General features: G+C 45.7%; 1 protein-coding gene and 1 long non-coding RNA gene across 2 annotated transcripts in view, besides 2 other annotated features; one reads left to right on the forward strand and one right to left on the reverse strand.

The window, feature by feature from the left end:
- Positions 1-25419, forward strand: part of RHEX (regulator of hemoglobinization and erythroid cell expansion) — a 49277-nt gene that overhangs the window by 231 nt on the left and 23627 nt on the right. The window lies entirely within an intron of this gene.
- Positions 40-18951, reverse strand: LOC105372857 (uncharacterized). Its single transcript, XR_922473.3, has 3 exons — positions 18911-18951; positions 14290-14295; positions 40-5191 (listed from the first exon to the last, which is right to left on the reverse strand). It is a non-coding gene; the product is annotated as an uncharacterized LOC105372857 (long non-coding RNA).
- Positions 5030-5089: an enhancer, noted in NCBI's record as "active region_2396". NCBI's record gives its function as "activates an Ori minimal core promoter by ATAC-STARR-seq in GM12878 lymphoblastoid cells {active_cell/tissue: GM12878}" and the evidence as "EXISTENCE:reporter gene assay evidence [ECO:0000049][PMID:35858748]".
- Positions 14386-14680: a silencer, noted in NCBI's record as "tiled region #5780; HepG2 Repressive non-DNase unmatched - State 16:ElonW". NCBI's record gives its function as "represses a minimal TATA promoter and a strong SV40 promoter by Sharpr-MPRA in HepG2 cells {active_cell/tissue: HepG2}" and the evidence as "EXISTENCE:reporter gene assay evidence [ECO:0000049][PMID:27701403]".

Consider the following 25419-nt stretch of genomic DNA (forward strand, 5'->3'; position numbering starts at 1 on the left):
TTTTGACCTGGCTTGGATTTCTGGATACTCTGATTTTGGTTTTGATTTTGGTTTGGTGTAAACTGCAAGAGTGTGTATGCCCTTTTTACCTGTTTTTTTGTTTGTGGCATGTGTGTGGTGTGGGTGTGGTGTTTTGTCTCGAAGAAGCATGGGTCAGGTACAAATAAGCCCACCCCACTAGGAACTATGTTAAAAAAAAATTCAAGAAAGAATTTAAGGGAGATTACAGTGTTACTGTGACACCAGGAAAACTTAGAACTTTGTGTGAAATAGACTGGCCAGCATTAGAGGTGGGTTGGCCATCAGAAGGAAGCCTGGACAGGTCCCTTGTTTCAAAGGTATGACACAAGGTAACCCGTAAGCCAAGGCACCCAGACCAGTTTCCATACATAGAAAGTTACAGCTGCTTTTATACCCCCTTGCCCCGCCAACGTAGTTAAGAGAACAGCAGCATAAGCGGCTGGCAGAGGCAAGGAAAGACCAGTAGAGAGAAAAAAAGGCCATCTATACCAATTCTAAGTTAATTTAGACTAAACAAGGTCTTAATAGCAAAGGATAATTGAAATCCCAAACTTACAAGGTTTTCAACAAAAGTGAAGTTTGCTTAAAGTTAACAGTGTAACATGTATTATGGTAACTTCTAATCTTGTGGCCTTAGACAGTCTAGTCCAAAGGCATAAAGAAAGTTTGCTTTAAAAAAAAAAAAAAGGAATGGTTATCTTCAAAAAAAAAAAAAAGTGGGGGGAGACAGAATTTATGTAAAAAGAGTGTTATATGGTAAATTCTTGTCCTGAAATAAACTAACTGGTGTTTAAAGAAAAAAAATGTTTGTAATAAGTCAGAAAGTTGAGACACATTGAAGAATTGTCGGCAAAAGTCGTGAAAGAAAAAATGTTATAAAAAAATTTATGCAAAAAATGTTGTATAATTTAAAAGTAATAAGGCCTCCTGAGTACTATTAAAAAAACAGTTTATGTGCAAGGTGTATAAGAAAAGTAAAACATACCTTTGGTAAAAAGATTATAAAGGGGCATAAGAATGTGGATTTTTACCTACATTAAAAGGTTAAAAACAATTATTGTTTTAAAAGTTTAAGCAAGTTTTAAAACGTTAATTATAAAGAAAATTCTGTGTGTAAACATATTAGCTAAAGTTAAAAAGGTATCATCCAGTTTTTCTGTGAACTGGACATTAAAGTAAAAAATGCCACAGGTTTTTCTTAAAGCATCAACCTGCTCTTTAACAAAAATTATAAAAGGTTAAAAAGAGTCTATAAAATCTTACCTTATGGTCAAACATGAAAAATTGGATAAATATGTCTACAAGGTTTTATTAAAATTCAGTTTAAAATTAATAACACACTAATATAAAGGTAAAATTTAGCTTATCTGGTATAAAAATCATACAAGAAACATTATTAAATATAAAATGGTGTTTAGCTTTCTTTGGTCTAAAAACTAATAAAAATTGGTGCTAAAGGAAACATTCATTTTACTAGAGGATCATAAAAGTTAAAGACTTAAAACAAACTTTGGCAATTAAGACAGCACGCCAAGATGCAAGTGCCTGGCTGAAATGGATCAAATATTCCATCTGCACTTTAAACAAATGCAATTGTTATGCTTGTGCACATGGCAGGCCAGAGGCCCTGATTGTCCCCCTTCCACTAAGGTGGTCCTCCAGTTGACCAGGCATGGGCTGCAGGGTAGCTATTTTCCAGGTTTCTACAGCTTGGAGTAATAAGTCATGCCAAGCTCTCTCTGCTATATCCCAAAGTCCCTGCGGGTCAGCCCCTGAGGGCCGTCCAGCTTCCGTCTCCCAACACTAAGTTCACTTCATGTCTCTCATGGCAGGGAGGAGACTTAGCATTCCTTGGAGACCTGAAGGGATGCAGTGAGCTTAAGAATTTTCAAGAGCTTATCAGTCAGTCAGCCCTTGTTCATCCCCGAGCGGATGTGTGATGGTATTGTCGTGGACCTTTATTGGGCACTCTGCCGAATAACTAGAGTGGCACTTGTGCTTTAGCCTATTTGGCTATCCCTTTCACCCTGGCATTTCATCAACCAGAGGAAGGAAAAAAAAAATAATAAGACATCGTAAAGCGAGAGAAGCCCCTTATGGGTCTTTCAACTCTCACATCTATTTAGATGCAATCGAAGCCCCGCAAGGAACACCAGATCAATTTAAAGTCCGAAATCAAATAGCTACAGGATTTAAGTCAATATTTTGGTAGATGACAGTCAATAAAAATGTAGATTAGATAAACTGCATCTATTACACCCAACAGCAATGAGCTTTTCATGAGTTGAAAAAAAGAAAAAACCCATGTCGGCCCCAGCCCTGGGGCTACCTGACCTGACAAAACCTTTTACACTCTATGTGTCAGAAAGAGAAAAAGTGGCAGTTGGAGTTTTAACCCAGACTGTAGGGCCCTGGCCAAGGCCAGTGGCCTATCTCTCAAAACAACTAGATGAGGTTTCCAAACGCTGGCCCCCATGTCCAAAGTCCCTGGTAGCAATAGCCCTGTTAGCACAAGAAGCAGATAAGCTAACTCTTAGACAAAACCTAAACATAAAGTCCCCCTATGCTGTGGTGATTTTAATAAATACCAAAGGACACCATTAGCTAATGAATGCTAGACTAGCTAGATACCAAAGCTTGCTCTGTGAACATCCCCGCATAACCATTGAAGTTTGCAACACCTAAACCCCGCCACCTTCCTCCCGGTGTCAGAGAGCCCAGTTAAACATAACTGTGTAGAGGTATTGGACTCAGTTTATTCTAGTGGGCCTAACCACCGAGACCATCCTTAAACATCAGTAGACTGGGAGCTGTACATGGATGGGAGCAGCTTCACCAACCCCTGCAAAGTGACTCTGAAGAAGACGACAAGCCCTGCTCCAGTCACACCCGGAAGCTGACTGGTCCACGCACAGCTGAAGCATGAGGAAACTCATCGCGGGACTAATTTTCCTTAAAATTTAGACTTGCACAGTAAGGACTTCAACTGACCTTCCTCAGACTGAGAACTGTTTCCAGTATATACATCAAGTCACTGAGGTAGGACAAAAGATTGCTACATTCCTATTATTTTATGGTTATTATAAGTGTACCAGGACTCTAAAAGAAACTTGTTTGTATAATGCTATTCTATCCAAGGTATGTAGCCCAGGAAATAACCAACTTGATGCGTGTTATGACCCATTTTAAGCCTCCCATGATCACAGTTTTTAAAATACAATTAAGGACTGGTCCTTTTCTAGGTGACACAAGAAAGGTAATAGCTAGAACAGAAGAAAGAGGGGTCCCCAAAAATGTAACCTTAAAATTTGACACTTGTGCCACTATTGATAGTAAGCAGCATGGATGAGGATGTGGTTCTCTAAATTGGAAAAAAAAGTTACACAGTAAAAAAAAATAAGTATATCTGTCAAGAATCATATTTATGTGAGATGTGTCAATACTGGTCTTGCGTTATTTCGGCTACTTGAAAATAAGTTAAAAAAGATAGTGTTTGGTTCCAAAAAGGAAAAGTCAGCCTCTCCTGCATGAGTGGGAGCTGCAACCTTTTAGAATTGATAATCACAAACCCCTCAGACCCAAAGTGGAATAAAGAAAAATATGTAACATTAGGCATTGATGGAAAAGGACTAGATCCTAGTGTAAGCATCCTAATAAAAGGAGAGGTTCAAAAACGTTCTCCAGAACCAGTATTTCAGACTTTCTATGATGAACTAAATGTGCCAGTACCTGAGATTCCAGGAAAAACTAAAAATTTGTTTTTGCAATTAGCCAAACATGTAGCCCAGTCTCTACAAGTCGCCTATGTCATGTTTGTGGAGGAACCGTAACAGGAGATCAATGGCCATGGGAAGCCCGAGAATTGGTTCCTATAGACCCGGTTCCTGATGAATTCCCAGCCCAAAAGAACCACCCTGACAAATTTTGGGTTCTGAAAGTCTTATTATTGGACAGTATTGCATAGCTAGAGAAGGAAAAGGATTTACTCATCCTGTAGGGCAGCTTAGTTGTCTTGGGCAAAAGCTGTATAATGGTACCACAAAAACAGTTACATGGTGGAGTTCCAATTACACAGAAAAAAATCCATTCAGTAAATTTCCAAAGTTGCAGACTGTTTGGGCCCACCCAGAATTGCACTGGGACTGGACGGCCCCCACTGGGTTATACTGGGTATGTGGACACAGAGCTTATGCTAAGCTGCCTGATCAGTGGACAGGTAGCTGTGTAATTGGCACCATTAAGCCATCTTTCTTCTTAGTGCCCATAAAAACAGGTAAACTTCTGGGCTTCCCAGTCTGTGCTTCCTGTGAAAAATGAAGCATAGCCATAGGTGATTGGAAAGACGATGAATGGCCCCCTGAAAAAATCTTACAATACTATGGACCTGCCACTTGGTCACAAGATGTCTCATGGGGATATGGAACCCCCATCTACATGCTCAACCGAATCATATGGTTACAAGCTGTTTTAGAAATTATTACTAATAAAACCACTCAAGCCTTGACTGTTCTTGCCTGGCAAGAGACTATGATGAGAAATGCTATCTATCAAAATAGACTAGCTCTTGATTACTTGCTAGCAGCTGAAGGAGGAGTTTGTGAAAAATTTGACCTTACTAATTATTGTCTACACATAGATGATCAGGGGCAAGTAGTTGAGGATATAGTTAAAGATATAACAAAACTGGCACATGCACCTGTGCAAGTGTGGCACGGACTCAATCTGGGAGCCATGTTTGGAAATTGGTTCCCAGCAATAGGTGGATTTAAAACTCTTATAATAAGAGTAATAATAGTAATAGGAACCTGCTTACTGCTCCCTTGTCTGATACCTGTATTTCTCCAAATGATAAAAAACTTCGTCGCTTAACCTTAGTTCACCAAAATGCTTCAGCACAAGCATACTATATAAATCACTATCAATCTATTGCACGAAAATACATAAGTAGCAAAAATAAGAGTGAGAACTCCCACTGATAAAAAGTGAGAGTCTCAAAGAGGGGAAATGAGGGAAGAGAGAGACCCTCTCATATTGTTTTATATTGTTTTATACTCAGTACCTCTTTTAAGAAAAAAACAACAAGGAAGTAGAACCAAAGACAAGCAGCCCAGCGCCAGGCCCAAAACCAGGCCTGGGCCTGCCTGGCCTAAACCCAGTAGTTAAAAATCAACTCATAACTTAGAAACTGATGTTATTCATAGATTCCAGACATTGTATAGAAGAACATTGTGAAACTCCCTGCCCTGTTCTGTTTCTCTCTGACCACCGGTGCATGCAGCCCCTGTCACATACCGCCTGCTTGCTCAAATCAATCATGACCCTTTCATGTGAAATCTTTAGTATTGTGAGCCCTTAAAAGGGACGGAAATTGTGCATTCGGGGAGCTCGGATTTTAAGGCAGTAGCCTGCTGATGCTCCCAGCTGAATAAAGCCCTTCCTTCTACAATTCAGTGTCTGGGAGGTTTTGTCTGCGGCTCGTCCTGCTACAACTGGACTTTAAATCTCAAGCACTTTCATGACATCCTCCTTTGTTCTTCTTGCTCCTACCCACCTCCTCTGCCTGCCCAGGATAGGTACTTGCCTTTCTGGCCCTGGATAGACACCCTCATGCTATCTCCCTCCTGCCGTAACAGGTGTGCTCCACTCCCACCAGCCTGCCCCAGCTGGAGACCCAAGTTCCCTTCTCATTGCTCAGGGTTTAGGTGTGTCATCTGCCTCACCCCACTCCCCCATACATCATGCCCTGTGACTTGATGCTTCATCTTGCATGGTTCATGACTGGCACCATGGGCACTGGAAAGGTGTGGTTTCCAAGACCCCTTCCTACCCTCCATCCAGTAGCTGTCAAAGGGAAACTTGGTGAGGTCAGCTCTCTCACTCAGAAGGGAGACAGGGAAAAAGGCAGAAAGGAAGGGAGCTGTTAGGATACCCAACAGAATCCCATCTGGCCTTGGTGCCCCTAAAGGCTGTAAAACTTGGTACTTTTGTGTTCCCAGATGCTATTTATCCAAGGTGGCTAGTAAATTGCCTTAGTGATCCAATGGGTTCCCCCCACCCCACCTTGGCCACAGTCTCTGCATTGCACAGCCAGCTCCCCAAGACATGTGGCCTGAGGGGTGCTATCTGCTATAGGGCTGAATCATGCAGCTTCACTTTATGGGGAAGAAACAGGAAGGAGACTGAATGCAGATAAAGAGAGCTTTGGGTTTGGAGTCAAAATGCCTGACTCCAGTCCTGGCTACAGCACTTGCCTCAGGCAAGTGCCTTCCCCTGAGATTCCTCACCTATACAATGGGAGGGTTTAAGATTCCTTTTAGCTCTGAGAATCTATGGACAGAATGTGGCTGGAGAGGGGATGGACTTTGTGTCTCCATCCCTCGAGGCAGGAGAAATTCTTTCCTGGTGTGAATAATTCTCCCCTTCCCCACCAGAGCATGGGCAGGCTCCCACGCCTGCCACCTCTTCCTAGCCGTAGCTCTACTGGCCTTGCTTATGTCCTGATCCTGTCAACCCCTCTCACATGCCCTCCCCCAGGTACCTAGCACTGCACATCCTGGTTATCTCTTTTTCTGGACCTCCTGTCATATCTGCTAACCCTTGGTAAGAATGGTAGAGCTCTGGAGTGAAACAATCACATGGAGGCAGCAGAATATACTGTGTATGAACACACGACTTAAAGTCAGAGAGATGGAGGTTTATGTCCAAACTCTGCCACTTACCAGCCCTATGACCCTGAGCAAGTGTGATCCTCAAGAACTGTTTTTCTTTACTGTATAATAGGAATAATGATTGTTCCTATCTCAGGTCTATATATGAAGATTAAACAAGATAATGAATGTGCCCAATATATACTAAGTTCACAATAAACAGTAGCTAATATTACCATTTAGGATTCTGTAGAGCTCATTTGCATAGGTGTGCAAGAATTACCTTCCTATCTCCTTCGTATTACTTTCCTCTCCTTCCCCTTATGCAGAGAACATCACCACCCTGAAGCCAGAGACTAACACTGCAGGACTCAGCAGGTGGGTGAGAGAAGGGCTGGATCCATGAAGGAGGAAGGTGGGCTCCTGGGGAAGGATCTGTGGGGATTGGTGTGAGTGGGGGCCATGGTGATGGAGGCTAGAGCTGAAAAGAGGGGCTAAAATGGAGGCAGGAGATGGTTGGCCACTAAGGAGGTGAAGCCTGGAAGTGGGAGAGCTTCTACATGGGTGAGGAGGCCCCAGGGCACTTTTGTGGAGGGTCACCAAAGCCAGCCAGAGCAGCTGGATGGTCCTCATGTCTCTTAGTTGCTTCCTTCAGCCTAAGCACAGCAGCCACAGCCCTTTCTGGCTCCATTGCTGTGGTGTCCCTCATCTTGCTCCTGGTGGGTCTCTTGTCCATGACCCTGAAGAAATGGAGGCAAGAGAGTGAGTTGAACAAGCTGGCCCTGGAACTGGGAATGAAGAGAGGAGAAACTGGGGGCAGAGATTGGGGTGTTTTTCCTATGGGGCAGTCTTGTCGGGGAGGGGAGCGGGTAGTGGGAGGGTAATATGAAGGAGATATGAAGATAAGACCTCTTCTCTAGACTTGCTGGGGACTCTGTACACAGCAATAAGAATTACTCATCACACAAGTTCTTCATGCTGAAAGCTATATATAGTATAAGCCATCTGCATATATGCTTATGGCCTATATGCCTCAGCTAAAAGAAATACTGATGCCAAATAATCTCTTCTAAATAATAAACAAAATTATAAATTATAAAGCGTACTCATTTCCCCTGTGTCTTCCTGGGAATTTAACTTAGTCTCAGAGGCCCAATGGGCTGAGTGTGGTGGATTTTGCATTTCAAAGTTAAGCCCTAAACCCAGCAAACAACCAAGTAAAGATGGTTATTAACCCAACTCAGACTGACTCTGAGTTTATCCATTTTTCTAGGACTATTTAAGAAACAACTGAGGCATCAGACCAACTTTCCCCACAAGTCCTCGGTAAGGAACTAGTCCAGTCGCATGTAGAGAGGGGGATCCTGGCCTTCTGGCTGCTTCCTTACCTAGACCCCACACAGAGGGTGGTGGGAGGAGGCGGGGGGCAGATCTGGAGGAAATGCCTATGAAAACTGAGATCTAGGGCTTGTGCAGCAAGAACTCAGCATTCTACTTGCTGTCCTGTAGGGACAGCCCAATGCCTTGTTTTGTCTTTGGAAGTCCCTGGTGCCCAGCCATCTGCCTCTAACCAGGGTTCTATCTCTAAAGGATCTTTCCTGCCATGCTGATGCCATATATTCCAACGTGATCAACCTGGCTCCCCAGAAGGAGGACGACTTTGCTGTCTACACCAACATGCCCCCTTTTCATCACCCCAGGAGGACATTGCCAGACCAAGTGGAATATGTCTCCATTGTATTCCACTGATGGGAAGCTAATGAGATGCTCAGAGTGGGGGTCAGACCTGGCCCCAGCTGAATCTTGGCATACCCTTTGCTTTAGATTTATGTGTGTGTTTAAAAAAAAAAAAATACATAGGCCAGGCACGGTGGCTCACACCTGTATCCCAGCACTTTGGGAGGCTGAGGCAGGCAGATCACCAGGTCAAGAGATCAAGACCATCCTGGCCAACATGGTGAAACCCCGTCTCTACTAAAGATACAAAAATTAGCCAGGTGTGGTGGTGCATGCCTGTAATCCCAGCTACTTGGAAGGCTGAGGCAGGAGAATCACTTGAACCCAGGGGGCGGAAGTTGCAGTGAGCCAAGATCACACCGCTGCACTCCAGCCTGGCAACAGAGTGAGACTCCATCTCTAAAAAAAGTAAATAAATAAAAATAAAACGTAAAACATATTCTGATGGAGGTGGATGGCTAGACATTTCTTCTGATTTATTAGAATCAAAGTACTGTTCTAATAGAAAGGAGTGACATACAAGAAACACAGGACATGCTCGTCCAGATCACCCCCAGCCCCAGAGGCAGGCTCCTGAGACAGCCTGGCCAACAAGGAAGCCCTCTGAGCTCCTGCCCCTCCTGAGGCAAAAGGGCCGAGGAGGGGGATTCAGACCATTTCAGGTCCAGCTGCTTTTGTCTCTCCAGTCTTACCCTGTCAGGAGTTAACACCCCATGGGTGTCAACTTAGGAGTCATGCTTGTATCTGTGATCACGTGCATGGCTGACTGCCTCGTGTGTCTGCACAATACAACTGCTGGACAATATGCCAGATGTGGAGGAGGAGGCATAGGGGGGCTGCAGGTGCCTGGGAAGTGCTTCTTACTGAGGAACTTGGTGAGCTCCCAGGAAGCATGGGGGCCACCTGAGAAAGGGGACGGGGGAGGAGTGCCAAGCGGGAAGTGGGCTGTGTGTCACCACTGGCCAGGAACAGCTCCCGTGGGAACTGTGGTAGATGACTGGAACTTTACAATTGATTTACTCCTTCTTTTCGTCATTCACAAGTAGTCATTAAGCACTTCCGTGATCTAGGTCCTGGGAATACAGCAGTGATCCCAACAGACAAAGCCTTGTCCTCACAGAGCTTACCTTCTAGAACGAACAAAGAAACACATAAACACACAAAATGTCAGATGGTGGGATGTGCTACGGGGAAATAAAGCAAGCATTCCCTACCCTACACTTCCTTGTAAGAGGTAAGAGTGGGTTGCTAGTTTGTATCAGGTGTTCAGGGAAGGCCTTACTGACATTTGACCTAAAAGAAAGGTAAGAATGTGACACCTGATGATAAATAGGGAAAGAGTATTTCAGGCAGGAGGAATGGCAGTGCAAAGGCCCTGAGGTAGACGTGTACCTGACATGGTCAAAGAAAAGCGAGGAGATGAATGTGTCTGGAATGGAACTGGGGGGTTGCAAGGATCACAGCAAAGATGTGGGGAGAGTCAGGGTTCTTCACTATTAGGAGGGGGCTTGGAAAACGGCAAGTTTCAAGCATGGCTTGTGTTTTAAAAAGATTTTTCTGCCTCTCCCTCTCCCTCTCCCTCTCCCCATGGTCTCCCTCTCCCTCTCTTTCCACCGTCTCCCTCTCACGCCAAGCCAAAGCTGGACTATACTGCTGCCATCTCGGCTCACTGCAACCTCCCTGCCTGATTCTCCTGCCTCAGCCTGCGGAGTGCCTGCAATTGCAGGCGCGCGCCGCCACGCCTGACTGGTTTTCCTATTTTTTTGGTGGAGACGGGGTTTCGCTGTGTTGGCCGGGCTGGTCTCCAGCTCCTAACCGTGAGTCATCCGCCAGCCTCGGCCTCCCGAGGTGCCGGGATTGCAGACGGAGTCTGGTTCACTCAGTGCTCAGTGGCGCCCAGGCTGGAGTGCAGTGGCGTGATCTCGGCTGGCTACAACCTCCACCTCCCAGCCGCCTGCCTTGGCCTCCCAAAGTGCCGAGATTGCAGCCTCTGCCCGGCCGCCACCCCGTCTGGGAAGTGAGGAGCGTCTCTGCCTGGCCGCCCATCGTCTGGGATGTGAGGAGCCCCTCTGCCTGGCTGCCCAGTCTGGAAAGTGAGGAGCGTCTCTGCCCGGCCGCCATCCCATCTGGGAAGTGAGGAGCGCCTCTTCCAGGCCGCCATCCCATCTAGGAAGTGAGGAGCGTCTCTGCCCGGCCGCCCATCGTCTGAGATGTGGGGAGCGCCTTTGCCCCGCCGCCCCGTCTGGGATGTGAGGAGCGCCTCTGCCCAGCCGCGACCCCGTCTGGGAGGTGAGGAGCGTCTCTGCCCGGCCGCCCCGTCTGAGAAGTGAGGAGACCCTCCGCCCGGCAGCCGCCCCGTCTGAGAAGTTAGGAGCCTCTCCGCCCGGCAGCCGCCCCGTCTGGGAAGTGAGGAGCGTCTCTGCCCGGCAGCCACCCCGTCCGGGAGGGAGGTGGGGGGGGTCAGCCCCCCGCCCGGCCAGCCGCCCCGTCCGGGAGGTGAGGGGAACCTCTGCCCGGCCGCCCCTACTGGGAAGTGAGGAGCCCCTCTGCCTAGCCAGCTGCCCCGTCCGGGAGGGAGGTGGGGGGGTCAGCCCCCCGCCCGGCCAGCCGCCCCGTCCGGGAGGGAGGTGGGGGGGTCAGCCCCCCGCCCGACCAGCCGCCCCGTCCGGGAGGTGAGGGGCGCCTCTGCCCGGCCGCCCCTACTGGAATGAGGATGATTGTTGGTCAGCCCCCCACCCGGCCAGCTGCCCCGTCCGGGAGGTGAGGGGCGCCTCTGCCCGGCCGCCCCTACTGGGAAGTGAGGAGCCCCTCTGCCCGGCCGGCCGCCCCGTCCCGGGGGGAGGTGGGGGGGTCAGCCCCCCGCCCGGCCAGCCGCCCCATCCGGGAGGTGAGGGGTGCCTCTGCCCGGCCGCCCCTGCTGGGAAGTGAGGAGCCCCTCTGCCCGGCCACCGCCCCGTCTGGGAGGTGTGCCCAGCAGCTCATTGAGAACGGGCCAGGATGACAATGGCGGCTTTGTGGAATAGAGAGTGGGGAAAGGTGGGGAAAAGATTGAGAAATCGGATGGTTGCCGTGTCTGTGTAGAAGGAGGTAGACATGGGAGACTTTTCATTTTGTTCTGTACTAAGAGAAGTTCTTCTGCCTTGGGATCCTGTTGATCTGTGACCTTACCCCCAACCCTGTGCTCTCTGAAACATGTGCTGTGTCCACTCAGAGTTAAATGGATTAAGGGCAGTGCAAGATGTGCTTTGTTAAACAGATGCTTGAAGGCAGCATGCTCATTAAGAGTCATCACCACTCCCCAGTCTCAAGTACCCAGGGACACAAATGCTGCGGAAGGCCGCAGGGTCTTCTGCCTAGGAAAACCAGAGACCTTTGTTCACTTGTTTATCTGCTGACCTTCCCTCCACTATTGTCCTATGACACTGCCAAATCCCCCTCTGTGAGAAACACCCAAGAATGATCAATTAAAAAAAAAAAAAAGATTTTTCTGGCTACTGTATTGAGCCAGACTGTAGGGGCAAGAGTGGAAGTAGAGAAGGTGGTAATGCAGGAATGCCCAGTGGTTAAACCCTCATAACAAAAGGACTTGCATGCTTCTCTGGAGGCAGCTAGAAGGCAGGACTCCAGGCAGAAGAGAGAAACCCATGTTGAGGTCAGTCTGTGGATGGCAGGGACCCCACAGACTGGACCAATGGTGGCAGTGGGAAAGGTTCCTGGGGAGGTTGGTCAAGTACTAACAAGGCCAGAAGCCTTCTACCTTCAGTCTTGCTCTGGCAACCCCACCTCTTCTTTCATCTTCTCCCATCTAGGGAGATGTCTAATGGGCATGATAGTTAGAGGTGGTGAGAGGATAGGGACAGGAAAGTCCTGCCTGTGGGACAACAGGGATCAGGGACTCAACAAGTCTTAGGCCTCTCACCAGGACCAGCATGTTGGGAAGCTGCCTCTCCATCCATATTCAGTCTCAGAATGGGCAGCTGCTTCCCCTGCACCCTCATCTTGGTCTGGTCTTGGTGATAGGGTGGGGAGAGTGGGACATTGCACAGAAGGGGCGCAGAAGGCAGTGGGAACCCAATCATCGGTTTTTCAGTTTTTCAGTGGCCTGTATCTGCTTTAGCCAGGACTGGGCTTGGCCCCAGGACTAAAGGGACCAAAAAGAGGAACCACTGTTTAGACTGCCATGACACACAGGGCCCGGGAAGATCGCTGGCTGGATGTGTTCAGCACCTTTGGTCCCTCCAGGGATTTCTGAAGATTCTCATTCAAATCAGTACCTGAGTTTGGGAATCAGTGACTGCAGGCAGTGTTTCCCAGCATATTCCATGGAGAATCCCTCCAGAGCCCTGGTCTTTAGAGGCGTATGCCTCTGGTTCTACCACTCTCTGCAGTCTCGTTGCTCTTATCTGCGAATCTCTTATCTATTAACTAGACATTCCCCTAATTTATAGGGGTGTCTACTTAAAATTATTGATATCTTTAAATTTTAAAAAAGGAGAACTCTCTTTCTTATAAAGGGTTACAACCTGGGCCAGGCACAGTGGCTCACGCCTGTAATCCCAGCATTTTGGAAGGCCGAGGCGGACGGATCACTTGAGGCCAGGAGTTTGAGACCAGCCTGACCAACATGGTGAAACCCTGTCTCTACTAAAAATACAGAAATAAGCTGGGTGTGGTGGCACATGCCTGTAATCCCAGCTACTCCGGAGGCTGAGGCAGAAGAATCGCTTGAACCTGGGACGTCAAGTTTGCAGTGAGCTGAGATTGCACCACTGCACTCCAGCCTGGGCAACAAGAGAGAGACTCTGTCTCAAAAAAAAAGAGTTACAACCTACAGGCAGGGAAGTGGAGCCTCTGGCTGAAACTGAAAGCAGACACTTCAGAGACAGAAGGGAGAGGCTGAGATTTATGCTTAGTGAGACTGGCTGTACATACATATTCAGTAGGTTATAGGACAATCTTATAAATATTTATGAAGGGTCCTAATGCATGTGTAGTGCATAAACATATATGTTACATATGACCCATATTTGTAGAAACAGTATTAAAATGCAGTAAATTTAGGCTCTGTATGTCAAAAGGTGAAACATAAGGCACAAAGCCACTTTGTGCTTAATCTCAGTAAACCAGCCAGAGCCAGTCAGTGGTTGGTGGTCAGTTATCAGGACAGGACGGAATTCTTTGTCAGGCCGCTCAGTTTTCATGGTGAACCTGTGATAAGGGAGTGGAGTCTGGCCACGGTGTCAGGTGATCTGCTGAAGTCCATGGAAGGATCTTCCAGTCTTTGTTTTTCAGATATTGGTTTCTGTTTATCTCTTAGAAAGTCTGGTAATAACACAAAGAGGGGGTACTGAGGCATATCTAACCTCCTATCTCATCAAAGCCAGGGAAACTTAAAGTTTTTCTGGGTGATCTGGGCCAAGAGGGGTCCATTCAGTCTGTCAGAGGCATCAGATTTCATTCTGGTTCCACAGGGGACTCCAGAACGTGATTCCCGGTCTCTCCACCTTAATCCTGTCATCATCCTAGGAGATTTTAGTGGCAATGTAGATAGTTCTTCCTAGCTCTGAGCTCAAAGTTTCCCAAAGGGTATTTTTCTAGTTATGAGAGACATTAATGGGTGTAGGGATAGAGAGATTAAATGAGACCTATGATCACATAAGTTTGGAAAATGATGAATAAGCAAAGGGTAATGTAGAAGAAGAAATTTTCATTTAAAACCAAAGCTGATGATGTGGATTCCTAATAAGATAAGTGAGCAACAACTTGGAGGGGGCCCCAGGTGGGGAGAGCAATTTTTCTGCCAGACAGCTCATCACTGACAACCCACTGGCAGGACATCCTGTTCCCAAATACCTCACTCCACACATAGCCCCAACAGCACAACCTCATTCTGCACATACCCCCTCCAGTACAACCCTAGAAAACTTCCCTCCAGTCCCTGCCTCTTTGCAGACAGCCCCTTCTCTGCCGTGCTGCCCATTGCCTCCTTGCAACATATTCTCCCTGTAATGAGCTTGCTTTCTTTAACTCACTACTGTCTTGGTAAATTCTTTTACCATCTGTGACGCCAGCCCCAGCCAGTTGCACCTGCAACAGATGACAGCTACTTCTGTCTTCTAAGGAGGGTGGAATGGTTCACATCGATAAGAAAATACGTACTCCATGGCTCCATTCCACTTACGGGGACTGGAGTGGGGAGGAGAAAGTAGAAAGGAAACTAACATTTCTGTGCTTCTGCGTCTTTTCTATGTTGATGACCTGCAAGTGCAGGGCAGACAGCCCATGTGACCTGATTGCCTAAGATTTTCCTGCTGTACACCTGTTGGCCAGCAAAGTTATTACTAGGCCCACTTTCAATCTTAAAAGTGTCATAGTTTGGACGACGTATTATGTGGTTACCTGTTAATGAGGCTTTGAAAATGTAAAAGTAGGTTCAAGACCAAATAAGGAGAGGAAAGCAAAGTTGTTTTGTACAATAAAGTGAGGAGAGTTGAGTTGGGGTAGGGTGGAGGGGGCAAGGGAGATAAGAGGAAAGTTTTGAGGGGGAAAAGGGGCTAAAATTATGGAGATGTAAAAGGCTTTCACTACCACAAACCTCAGTAAAGCCACTGAACACAGACATGCCTTATAGGGTATTTTTGGGAAGGAAAATTCATGAAGAGGGGACTGAAATCCACAACTCAATCAGCATAGAGCAGAAATAAGGGGGAAGTGGTAAGAGGTGCACTATGAATGAGCTGGAGAATTTAAAGGGAGGCTGAACTCAGAGTCGAAGTGACCTTGAGAAGATAAACCCTCTGGAAATTCTCAGAATCTCAGGATGGGCCCCAGAGTATCTAAAGATGCTACAGTTCAAGGGATTGAGCCAATTGTATATAAATCTTAATGGATAGGTTGACCTCAGCATAAAACTTGGGTGGAAATTTTAAACAGGTTTCTTTATTTCAGCACTTCTCAGAGCACTCATTGTATAAGGTACTTTGTGAATATCCAGATAGTATTCTTCAAACTCTCTTTTATTTCCCCAGGGGGCATCCCATAGGACAAGAAGCATTCTTTGTGACACTCTGTGGGAAGAGCTGGTTTAAAGGGGTACCTGTCTGGGCAACACTGTCCCACAGGGGCCCCCATGACCAAACTAACTCTGCTTCTACCCAGAAAGGGTGCAGAGTAGCCACTAGACTTTTATGTGGCAAATGGGATGGTTATGCCCAGCCTGAAGCCAAGATGCCCTTTCTGGTTGCCTTGATTTGTGTTTAACAGCTCCAAATGCTTAATGAGGCAGTAAGAGACGTCTCTCTTGGGCAGTACTTCCCAACTAGGGGTGAGTTTGCCACCCTTACCCCCATCCCAGTGAATATTTGCAATTCCTAAAGACGTGTTTTGATTGTCACACCTGGGTGGGGAACATGCTACTGGCATCTAATGCATAGAGGGCAGTAATGCTGCTAAACATCTTTCAACGCACAGGACAGAGCCCCACAAAAGAGAATTATCTAGCCCCAAATGTCCATAACACTGCTGTTGAGAAAACCTACCGCAGGATCTTACTGGGCTTCATAGGTAAGCTTGCCTTTGTTCTGGCTTCTGTAGATATATAAAATAAAGACACTGCCCAGTCCCTCCCTCAACGTCCCGAGCCAGGGCTCAAGGCAATTCCAATAACAGTAGAATGAACACTAAATATTGATTTCAAAATCTCAGCAACTAGAAGAATGACCAACCATCCTGGTTGGCCTGGGACTGTCCTAGTTTTAGCATTGAAAGTTTCAGGTTCCAGGAAAGCCCTCAGGCCTGGGCTGCTGGTCACCCTAGCAGCTGAGGGACTCTTCAATACAGAATTAGTCTTTGTGCACTGGAGATGAATATACTTTAATTTGTAACATGTGAAAACATCTATAAACATCTACTGAAGCCTGTTCTGTCTGCACCGACATTTTCATTGAGTACGGATTCTTCCTACCAGATACAGCTGCTCTACAACTTTCGAGGGCTGGTATAAAACTAGCTTTTACCTATTTTTAAAAATTACATGAATAGTAAAAACTTGGATTAACCCAGTATTCGGGTATTTTCAATTTCCTTGGGAGCTTAGAGGACGGACAAATAAAAAGATTATTTCAACATCAAATATATGCTATTGTTTACATATGAAGATAACCACATATATGTATAAATTCACCGTTACTTTTTAGCAATACTATAAAATCCAACAGAAAAAAATAGCATTTACTATTAAAAAAAAAAAAAGAATTAGTCTTTGTGGGTTTGGGGCAAGCAACTGCCCTTCTCAGTTAGGATGGGGGAGTTCTGGACATTTCTAGCTAAAGCCCAGGGGTCAAGGGAATGATAAACTCCTCGGTCTTGAGCATTGAGAGAAATTCTACCAGCTCGCCCTCAGTAGAAGGGTCTATAGTCCTGCCCCTCACCCGCCTGGCAGGGAGAGCTGCCTTTCTCTCCTGCCATCCCCCTATATCCACGGCTTCTCTCAGAGGAGCTGCTGAGTGCATTTTGCAGAATGAGTGACTGGGCACTGCTTTTCCAGAAGATTCTCAGGAAATTCTGTTCGGTAGGCAGAAGCACTGCTAGACGTTTGGCTATGTGACTGTTGTTATCTCTCCTGGGAAAGCATAATTCTGGAAGGCTCTGAACATCCCCAAAGAAAAAAAAATGCATCTATGTTTTAACAAAGGCAGGGTCTTGGAACATGAAATGCTTTGCACAGTCCTGAGAGAAATCTCCCATGTGTCTGGAAATGAGGCTCACTTGCTCTCTTAATGTTTCTACTGTACTGGGGAATAGGAGAAGCCAGCTTCTCGTGTCCAGTGAGGAGGAATATTTTATCACTGAAATTTAGAATTGCTGGCGCCTGGTGACCATAAAAAGCAGACTGCCTTTAGTTGGTTTTATTATTTTTAAATCCTCCACAGACAATGCGCCCCTTGAATGCCAGATTCCAGGATGGACTGCTCCCACTACCCTCCCCACCACTGGTCACCCCTGTCCTATCAGCCGTCAGTCTTGGCCCTTCACTTACTGTGTACAACACTTGGCAAGGTAACTAATTTCTATAAGTCCAGGCTTTCTCACCTGTAAAATTGAAATAATAATGATATTGATTGATAGGTATTGGCTGATTTTATTAGGGTTCTCTAGAAGGACAGAACTAATAAGATATACGTATATATAAAGGGGAATTTATTAAGGAGTATTGACTCACACGATCACAAGGTGAAGTCTCACAATAGGCCATCTGTAAGATGAGGAACAAGGAAGCCAGCCGGAGTCCCAAAACCTCATAAGTAGGGAAGCCAACAGTGCAGCCTTCAGTCTGTGGTTGAAGGTCTGAGAGCCCCTGGCGCCCTACTGGTATAAGTCCAAGAGTCCAAAAGCTGAAGAACTTGGAGTCTAATGTTCAAGGGCAGGAAGAATCCAGCACGAGAGAAAGATGAAGGCCGGAAGACTCAGGCCAGTCTAGCCCTTCATGATTCCTCTGCCAGCTTTTATTCTAGCCACGCTGGCAGCAGATTAGATGGGTCCACCCGGATTGTGGGTGGGTCTGCTTCTCCCAGTCCACTGACTCAAATGTTAATCTCCTTTGGCAACATCCTCACAGACATACCCAGGAACAATACTTTGCGTCCTTCAATCCAATCAAATTGACACCCAATATTAACCATCATACTGATGATATTATATGATAATATTCTGTAAACTATAAGATGCTGTTGAAAATGCAAAAAAAAAAAAAAAAAAGGCATTGAGCAGTGACTCACATTTGTCATCCCAGCGCTTTGGGAGGGCAAGGTGAGAGGATCACTTAAGGCCAGGAGTTCAAGACCAGTCTGGGCAACATGGCGAGACCACATCTCTACAAAAAAATAATAAAAAGTAGCCAGGCCTGGTGGTGAATGCCTGTGGTCCTAGCTACTAGGGAAGCTGAGGCAGGAGGATCCCTTGAGCCCAGGAGGCTGAGACTGCAGTGAGCTATGATCATGCCACTGCACTCTAGCCTCGGTAACAAAGTGAGACGCCCCCTGTCCAACAACTCAAAAAAAAAAAAAAAAGAAAAAGAAAGTGTAAAAAATTAACAACTGATTGTAACTGATTATGTTATAAAGGATTATTTCCCATTGGTCAGTTGAATGGACTAAATCAGTAGGCGTATTTTGCCATCATTAGATGGAAGAAGCCATATGAGTTAAAACCCTTTTTTTTAGAACCTGTCTCAGGTACCATTTAGCAACAGATCTTCATAAACAGGAACGCAACAAATAAGTCTTTCATGCCGCCCCTAATTTTTCATTTCCTTAAGGAGCTGATGATCTAGGTAGGAATTTAAAACTGGCACAAAACAGTGGAAGAAAATCTAGCCCAGAAGGAAGAAAGGACACATTCAATGTACAAAGGTCCAAACATACAAAACTGATGAACATAGAAACATGGCCCTTATTCCAAGAGGATTCTTGTTTTTATAAGAGAATGGGCCGGGCGCGGTTGTTCACGCCTATAATCCCAGCACTTTGGGAGGCCGAGGTGGGTGGATCACAACGTCAAGAGTTCGAGACCATCCTGGCTAACACGGTGAAACCCTGTCTCTACTAAAAATACAAAAAAATTAGCCAGGCATAGTGGTAAGAGCCTGTAATCCTAGCTACTCGGGAGGCTGAGGCAGGAGAATAGCTTCAACCTGGGAGGCGGAGGTTGCAGTGAGCCGAGATCGTGCCACTGCACTCCAGCCTGGGCAACACAGCAAGACTCCATCTCAAAAAGAAAAAAAAGAGGATGTGTTTTAGGCTTTGTAAAAATACCATATTCCCGTAATGTACTCTGAAAATATGTTTCTGGGCATAGATATTAAAAACTCAATTTACTGAATTCCAGCATGTCCCCTGAAACACCACAACTGGAGGTGGTCTTTACTGCCCAAAGAAAGCAGGGTGACAGCCAGAAGCCCTAACATTTATGACTGCTCCTCATGGCTCAGCATCTGTATACACCCACCACATTCCTCCTGTGTCTTTTTTTTTTTTTTTTTTTTGAGACAGGGTCTCGCTCTGTCACCTAGGCTGGAGTGCAGTGGTGTGATCACAGCTCACGGCAACCTTAACCTTCTGGACTCAAGCAATCCCCCTCACCCCGCCTCAACCCCCCAAGTAGCTGGGACTATAAGCGTGCACTACCATGGGCAGCTAAGTTTTGTATTTTTGGTAGAGACAGGGTTTCGCCATATTCCCCAGGCTGGTCACAAACTCCTGGATTCAAGCAATCCACCTACCTTGGCCTCCCAAAGTGCTGAGATTACAGGCATAAGCCACCATGCCTGGCTCCTCCTGTGTCTTTACCAGGCCTTTGGGATCTCCTTGGCAGGCTCTACCTGTCTCTGATGTGGGAGCACCTCAGGGCTCTGTCCTGGCCCTTTGCCCTCTCACTCTACTCCCAAGGCTTCAGGTGCCATTTGCTTGCTGATGCCACTAAAATCTACATTGCCAGCAGCAGACAGGTGCATACATCTGTTTCCTGGACTCATCTTTTGGGCATATCATAGCAACAATCATGATGATGATGATAAACACTTGTATAGTCTTTAAGTGTGCCAGACACATTGTAAGTATTTCACATATATTAACTCATAACTCTCATTACTGCACTTGAGAAAGCTAGTATTATTATTATTATCATCTCTAAGAAGTGGAGTCACAGACAGCTTAGGTAACTTCTCCAAGATCACACAGCAATAAGGTGGAAGGGCCTGTTGGGCTTCGGAGTCTGAGTTTTTGTCACTATGCATACTGGGCCCCGTGTTCTCAAACTCAACACATCTGAAACGAAAGTATCCCGCTGTTCCTCCATGACTCCCTGTCTCGCGCAACCAACCCACTTGCCCAAGCTGGAAATCTGTGAGTCACCCTGGAATTCTCTCCTTCCCACCTCCATTCAAAGTAGTTCAATCACCAAATCCTATCATTTCTACCTCCTACATATTTAAAACATCCGTTTAATGGCCTCTTTATCTCCTCCAGTCTATTCTCCACATTGCAACCAGAGGGTTCCTCTAAAAAGAACTTAATCTTGCCTCCTTTTGACTGACCAACTAGCCTTCAATGGGCTAGCACTATCTGTCGGTTAAATCCAGACTCCTTAACACAGCAAACAAGGGCCTCCGTAATCCGGCCCATTCCCACCTTTGCAGCCTCATCACTCCTCACTGCCTCGTACCCGCTCCCCTCTATCTTGGCTGGCTCTCAGTTTTTCAAATGCACTGGGCACTTTCTCTCTCATGGGACTTTCTGCTCTTTCCTCTGCCCAGAATCCTCCCTCCACTCCCTAGATCAGAGTTGGGACCTTCTCTGACCAAAGACTGTGATAGGACCCTCTGCTGTATGTTCCTTGTCTCCTTTTAACTTTCCATAATAAAAAATTCATCACACCTCAGTGCAATTTTTTATCTAAAGTCTATGTTCCCAATAGCATGAGGATGGGGACAATGTCTATCTTCTTCAACTCTGTATCCCAGTGCTTAGCACAGAGCCACATATATAGTGGACTATCAAGAAATATCTGTAGAATGAATGAATGGATGAATAAATGAATGAATGTCAGAGCTACTTGGAGGGATGGCATACTGGCCATCATAGCAAAGCAAATGTTTTATATGATTCTTTTTAATATTAGCCTTATGAGATAGAATTCACATACCACACATTTCACCAATTAAAAGTGCACAGTTCCGTGGTTTTTAGTATATTCACAGAGTTATGCAACCACCCACTGTTGTGCGCCACCATCAATTTCAGGCCATTTTCATCACCCCTAAAGGAAACCCTGCACTCAGGAGTCATCCCCCATTTCCTTTATATTATTACAGGTTCGGTACCCCTACTCTGAAAATCTGAAATCTGAAATGCTCCAAAAGCTGGAACTTTTTGGGTGCTGACATGATGCCACAGGCAGAAAACTTCTAATTCGACCTCATGTGACAGGTCTCAGTCAAAATGTAGGCACAGAGCACACAGTTTATTCAACATTCCCAAAGGGAAAAAGACCCTCCCAGCCCCCTCATAGGTGATGTATTTTTTCTGCACGTGCCCAGGTTCCCTTCACCCAGGCACACCCACAAAGGGTAATAACAGGGCCAGACGTGTTAATGGCCCATTCCCACAATGCCCCACAGGGGGCCAAAACTGTGTGCATTACTCACTGTGTTTTTTTGCTCATTCTCTGCCTGTGGTGTAAATATATTGTTGAAAATGTCCAGAAGGCCTGCCAAATATCTCTATGGGTAACAGTGATAAGAAAAAGAGGAAGCATTCATGTTTATCTATAGCACGGAACATCAAGCTGCTGGAGAAACTGGACAGCAGTGTAAGTGTGTAGCATCTTGCTGGAAAGTATGGTGTTGGAATGGCCAACATATATGACATGAAGAAACAAGGATAAACTGTTGGAGTCCTGTGCTGAATATGATGAACAGAAGTTAATGAAAAATAGAAAAACACCGCATAAAGCTAAAAATGAAGACCTCAATCATGTATGAAAAGAGTGGATCATTGGCAGTGGACATATGTCACTTAATGGTATGCTGACCATGAAACAAACACAGATCTATGATGATGGACTGAAAATTGAAGACAACTGTGAATATTCAACAGGCTGGCGGCAGAAATTTAAGTAAAGATACAGCATTAAATTTTTAAACTATTGTGGTGACAAAGCATCTGTTGGTTATAAAGCAGCAGATAAATTCATTGGTGAGTTTGCCAAGGTCACAGTTGAAAAAATCTGATGCCAAAGTCTTTTTTTTTTTTTTGAGACAGAGTCTCACTCTGTTGCCCAGGCTGGAGAGCAGTGGCATGATCTCTTTTCACTGCCACCTCCACCTCCTGGGTTCAAGCGATTCTCCTGCCTCAGCCTCCCGGTAGCTGGGATTACGGGTGCCCACCACTACGCCCGGCTAACATTTTTGTATTTTTAGTAGAGACAGGGTTTCACCATGTTGGCTAGGCTGGTTTTGAACTCCTGACCTCAAGTGATCCACCCGCCTCAGCCTCCCAAGTCCTACGATTACAGGCATGAGCCACCGTGCACAGCCAGAACAAGTCTTTAATGCTGATGAAACATCACTGTCTTGGCATTATTGCCCCAGAAAGACACTGACTACAGCTGATGAGACAGCACTTATAGGAATTAAGGATGCCAAGGAGAGGATAACTATGCTTAGATGTGCTAATGCAATAGGCATGCATAAGTGTACTTGCTGCGAGAAGCAAAAACTTGTTGTTTTCTGTAAGTGAATTTCCTTCCAGTCCATTATTATGCTAACAAAAAAACATGGATCACCAGGGAGTCTTTTTTTTTTTTAATGAGACAGGGTTTTGCTCTGTCACCCAGGTTGGAGTGCTGTGGCATGGTCACAGCTCACTGCAGCCTCAAACTCCTGGGGTCAAGCCATCCTCCCGCCTCACCTTCCAGAGTAGTTAGGACTACAGGCATGCACAGGCATGTGCCACCACCCTCGGCTAATTTTGCTATGTTTTTGTAAAGACAGGGTTTTGCCATGTTGCCCAGGCTGGTCTCAAACTCCTGGGCTCAAGCGATCCACCCTCCTCGATCTCCCAAAGTGCTGGGATTACAGGCATAAGCCACTGCACCCAGCCCAGGGACATCTTTTATGCTTGGTTTCATAAACCTTTTGTACCAGAGGCTCACGCCCACGGCAGGGAAGTCGGACTGGATGACAACTGCAAGATTTTCTTGTTCCTTGACAACTGTTCTGCTCATCTTCCAGCTGAAATTCTCATCAAAAATGTTTATGCCATGTACTTCCCCCAAATGTGACTTCATTAATTCAGCCATGTGACCAGCATATCCTTAGACCAGGAAAGAATAAATATAAAAACACATTCTTGAATAGCATCCTGGAAGCAGTGAACAGAAGTGTGGGTGTGGAAGGTTTTCAAAAGGAATTTAGCTGAAGGATGGCTTATATGGACTACATTTTTCTTATCTCTCCTTATAAGAATTTTTGATTAGATCATTTCCAGCATCCTTTCTGCTCTAAAATCTCATGGTTTTGTGTATTACATGTCATCCACGACTCTGCTTTAAATAGAAAAGTCAGAATTATTGAAGTCTGTCTTGTTCTCTGCATCCCCACCAGCTGGGATTGTGCCTGTACCTAGTATGTGCTCGACACATGTTTGTGGCATGGATAAATGCGTGAATTAAGGTGCTGTGTTACATATGCATGGTGTATACATGCATCGTGTCCACTCCCTACTACATGCAAACACTTGCCGATGATGAGAAGAGGTTGTTGCCAGTGCTTGGAAGACAACGACACAAAAACACAGCTGTGCATGCCTGGAATGAACTCTGGCCTGCAACTGTGTTCAGTGATGATGGTGAGCCGGTGATGACTTGGAAGGATTCCTTATGTGAAGTGAAAAAAAAAGATGTCTAAGCTCTTTATATATGCAAAATATATACCTTCAGAGTCTGTAAGTAAGCAGGAAGAAGTGTATGTCAAAGAAGTTTTTAACATTCTTGGGACTACAGCTCTTCATTCATTGACCAATGGTGAAATAGCTGAAATGGTTCTGATTCAAGGTGACTGTGATAATGGTGACCATCAAGATGACATTAATACTGCAGAGTAAGTGCCTATAAACAACATGGTGAGGCTGGGTGTGGTGGCTCACATCTGTAATCCCAGAACTTTGGGAGGGGAAGGAGGGAGGATGACTTGAGGGTAGGAGGTCAAGACCAGCTTGGTTAACCTAGTGAGACTTTGTCTCTACAAAAAATTAAAAAGTTAGCAGGGCATGGTGGTGAGTGCCTGCAGGCCTAGCCACACAAGGCAGGAAGATTGCTTGAGCCTGGGAACTCAAGGCTACAACATCGTAGGTGGAGACTGAAAGCCTGGGGATGCTTGTTGCTGCTGTTGTCTAACAGCTGGTACAGGTATTATAGAGATGCTACGTAGTTGCTTAGTTACCCTGAACACATTGTTTTCTCACCGTATTAAGGGCACATCACATTTTTTTCTGTTAAGTACTTACCTGTGAATAAGTGGAAGAAAATGATTGCTTATCAGTAGCAAGTAAATTCAGAGCCATGAATGATGGTGATGCCAAATAGCCAGATTGTCCACATGGGTGCTGAGATAGTGACACCTTTGCTTTCTGAGGTTTCGCTGTACACAAACTTTGTTTCATGCACAAAATTATTCAAAATATTACATAAAATTACCTCCAGCCTATGTCTATAAGGTACATAAGAAACATAAGTGAATTTCGTGTTCAGGCTTGGGTTCCATCCCCAAGATATCTCATTATGTATATGAAAATATTCCAAAATTCAACTCCCTTCCCCACCAAATCTGAAATATTTCTGGTCATAAGCATCTTGGGTAAGGGATAGTTAACCCACATTTAAAGTTACGTAACAGGCTGGGTGCGGTGGCTCATGTCTGTAATCCCAGCATTTTGGGAGGCCGAGGCAGGAGGATCCCTTGAGCCCAGGACTTTGAGACCAGCTTAGGCAACATAGTGAGACCTCGTAGCTACAAAACATTTTTTAAAATGTTTTTAAACATTAAAAATTAGCCAAGCTTGGTGGCTTGGGCCTATAGTCCCAGCTACTCAGGAGGCTAAGGCAGGAGGATGGCTTGAGCCCAGGAGGTTGAAGCTGCAGCGAGCCATGATCATGCCACTGCACTCCAGTATGGGCAACAGAGTGAGACCCTGTTTCCAAAAAAATAAAAAATAAAATAAAGTTATATAACAAAGCCTGATATTTGTAGTGTTTTCTAGGTAACAGAGTGCTTCATATGAGTTCATTGAATCTTAAACAACTCTGTAAGGTGGACATTTTAATGCACCTGTCATTAGGGTTAAACTTCGGTGTATGGAGTGAGACTTTTAATCAATAAAAAGTTTAATCTGAAAGGAAGGGGAAGGGTGGTAGAGGTGCCTGGGGGGGCAAGAAACAACTGTCTATAGAGTGCTATCCT

This window comes from Homo sapiens, chromosome 1, assembly GCF_000001405.40.
Source record: "Homo sapiens chromosome 1, GRCh38.p14 Primary Assembly".
Lineage (NCBI taxonomy): Eukaryota > Metazoa > Chordata > Mammalia > Primates > Hominidae > Homo > Homo sapiens.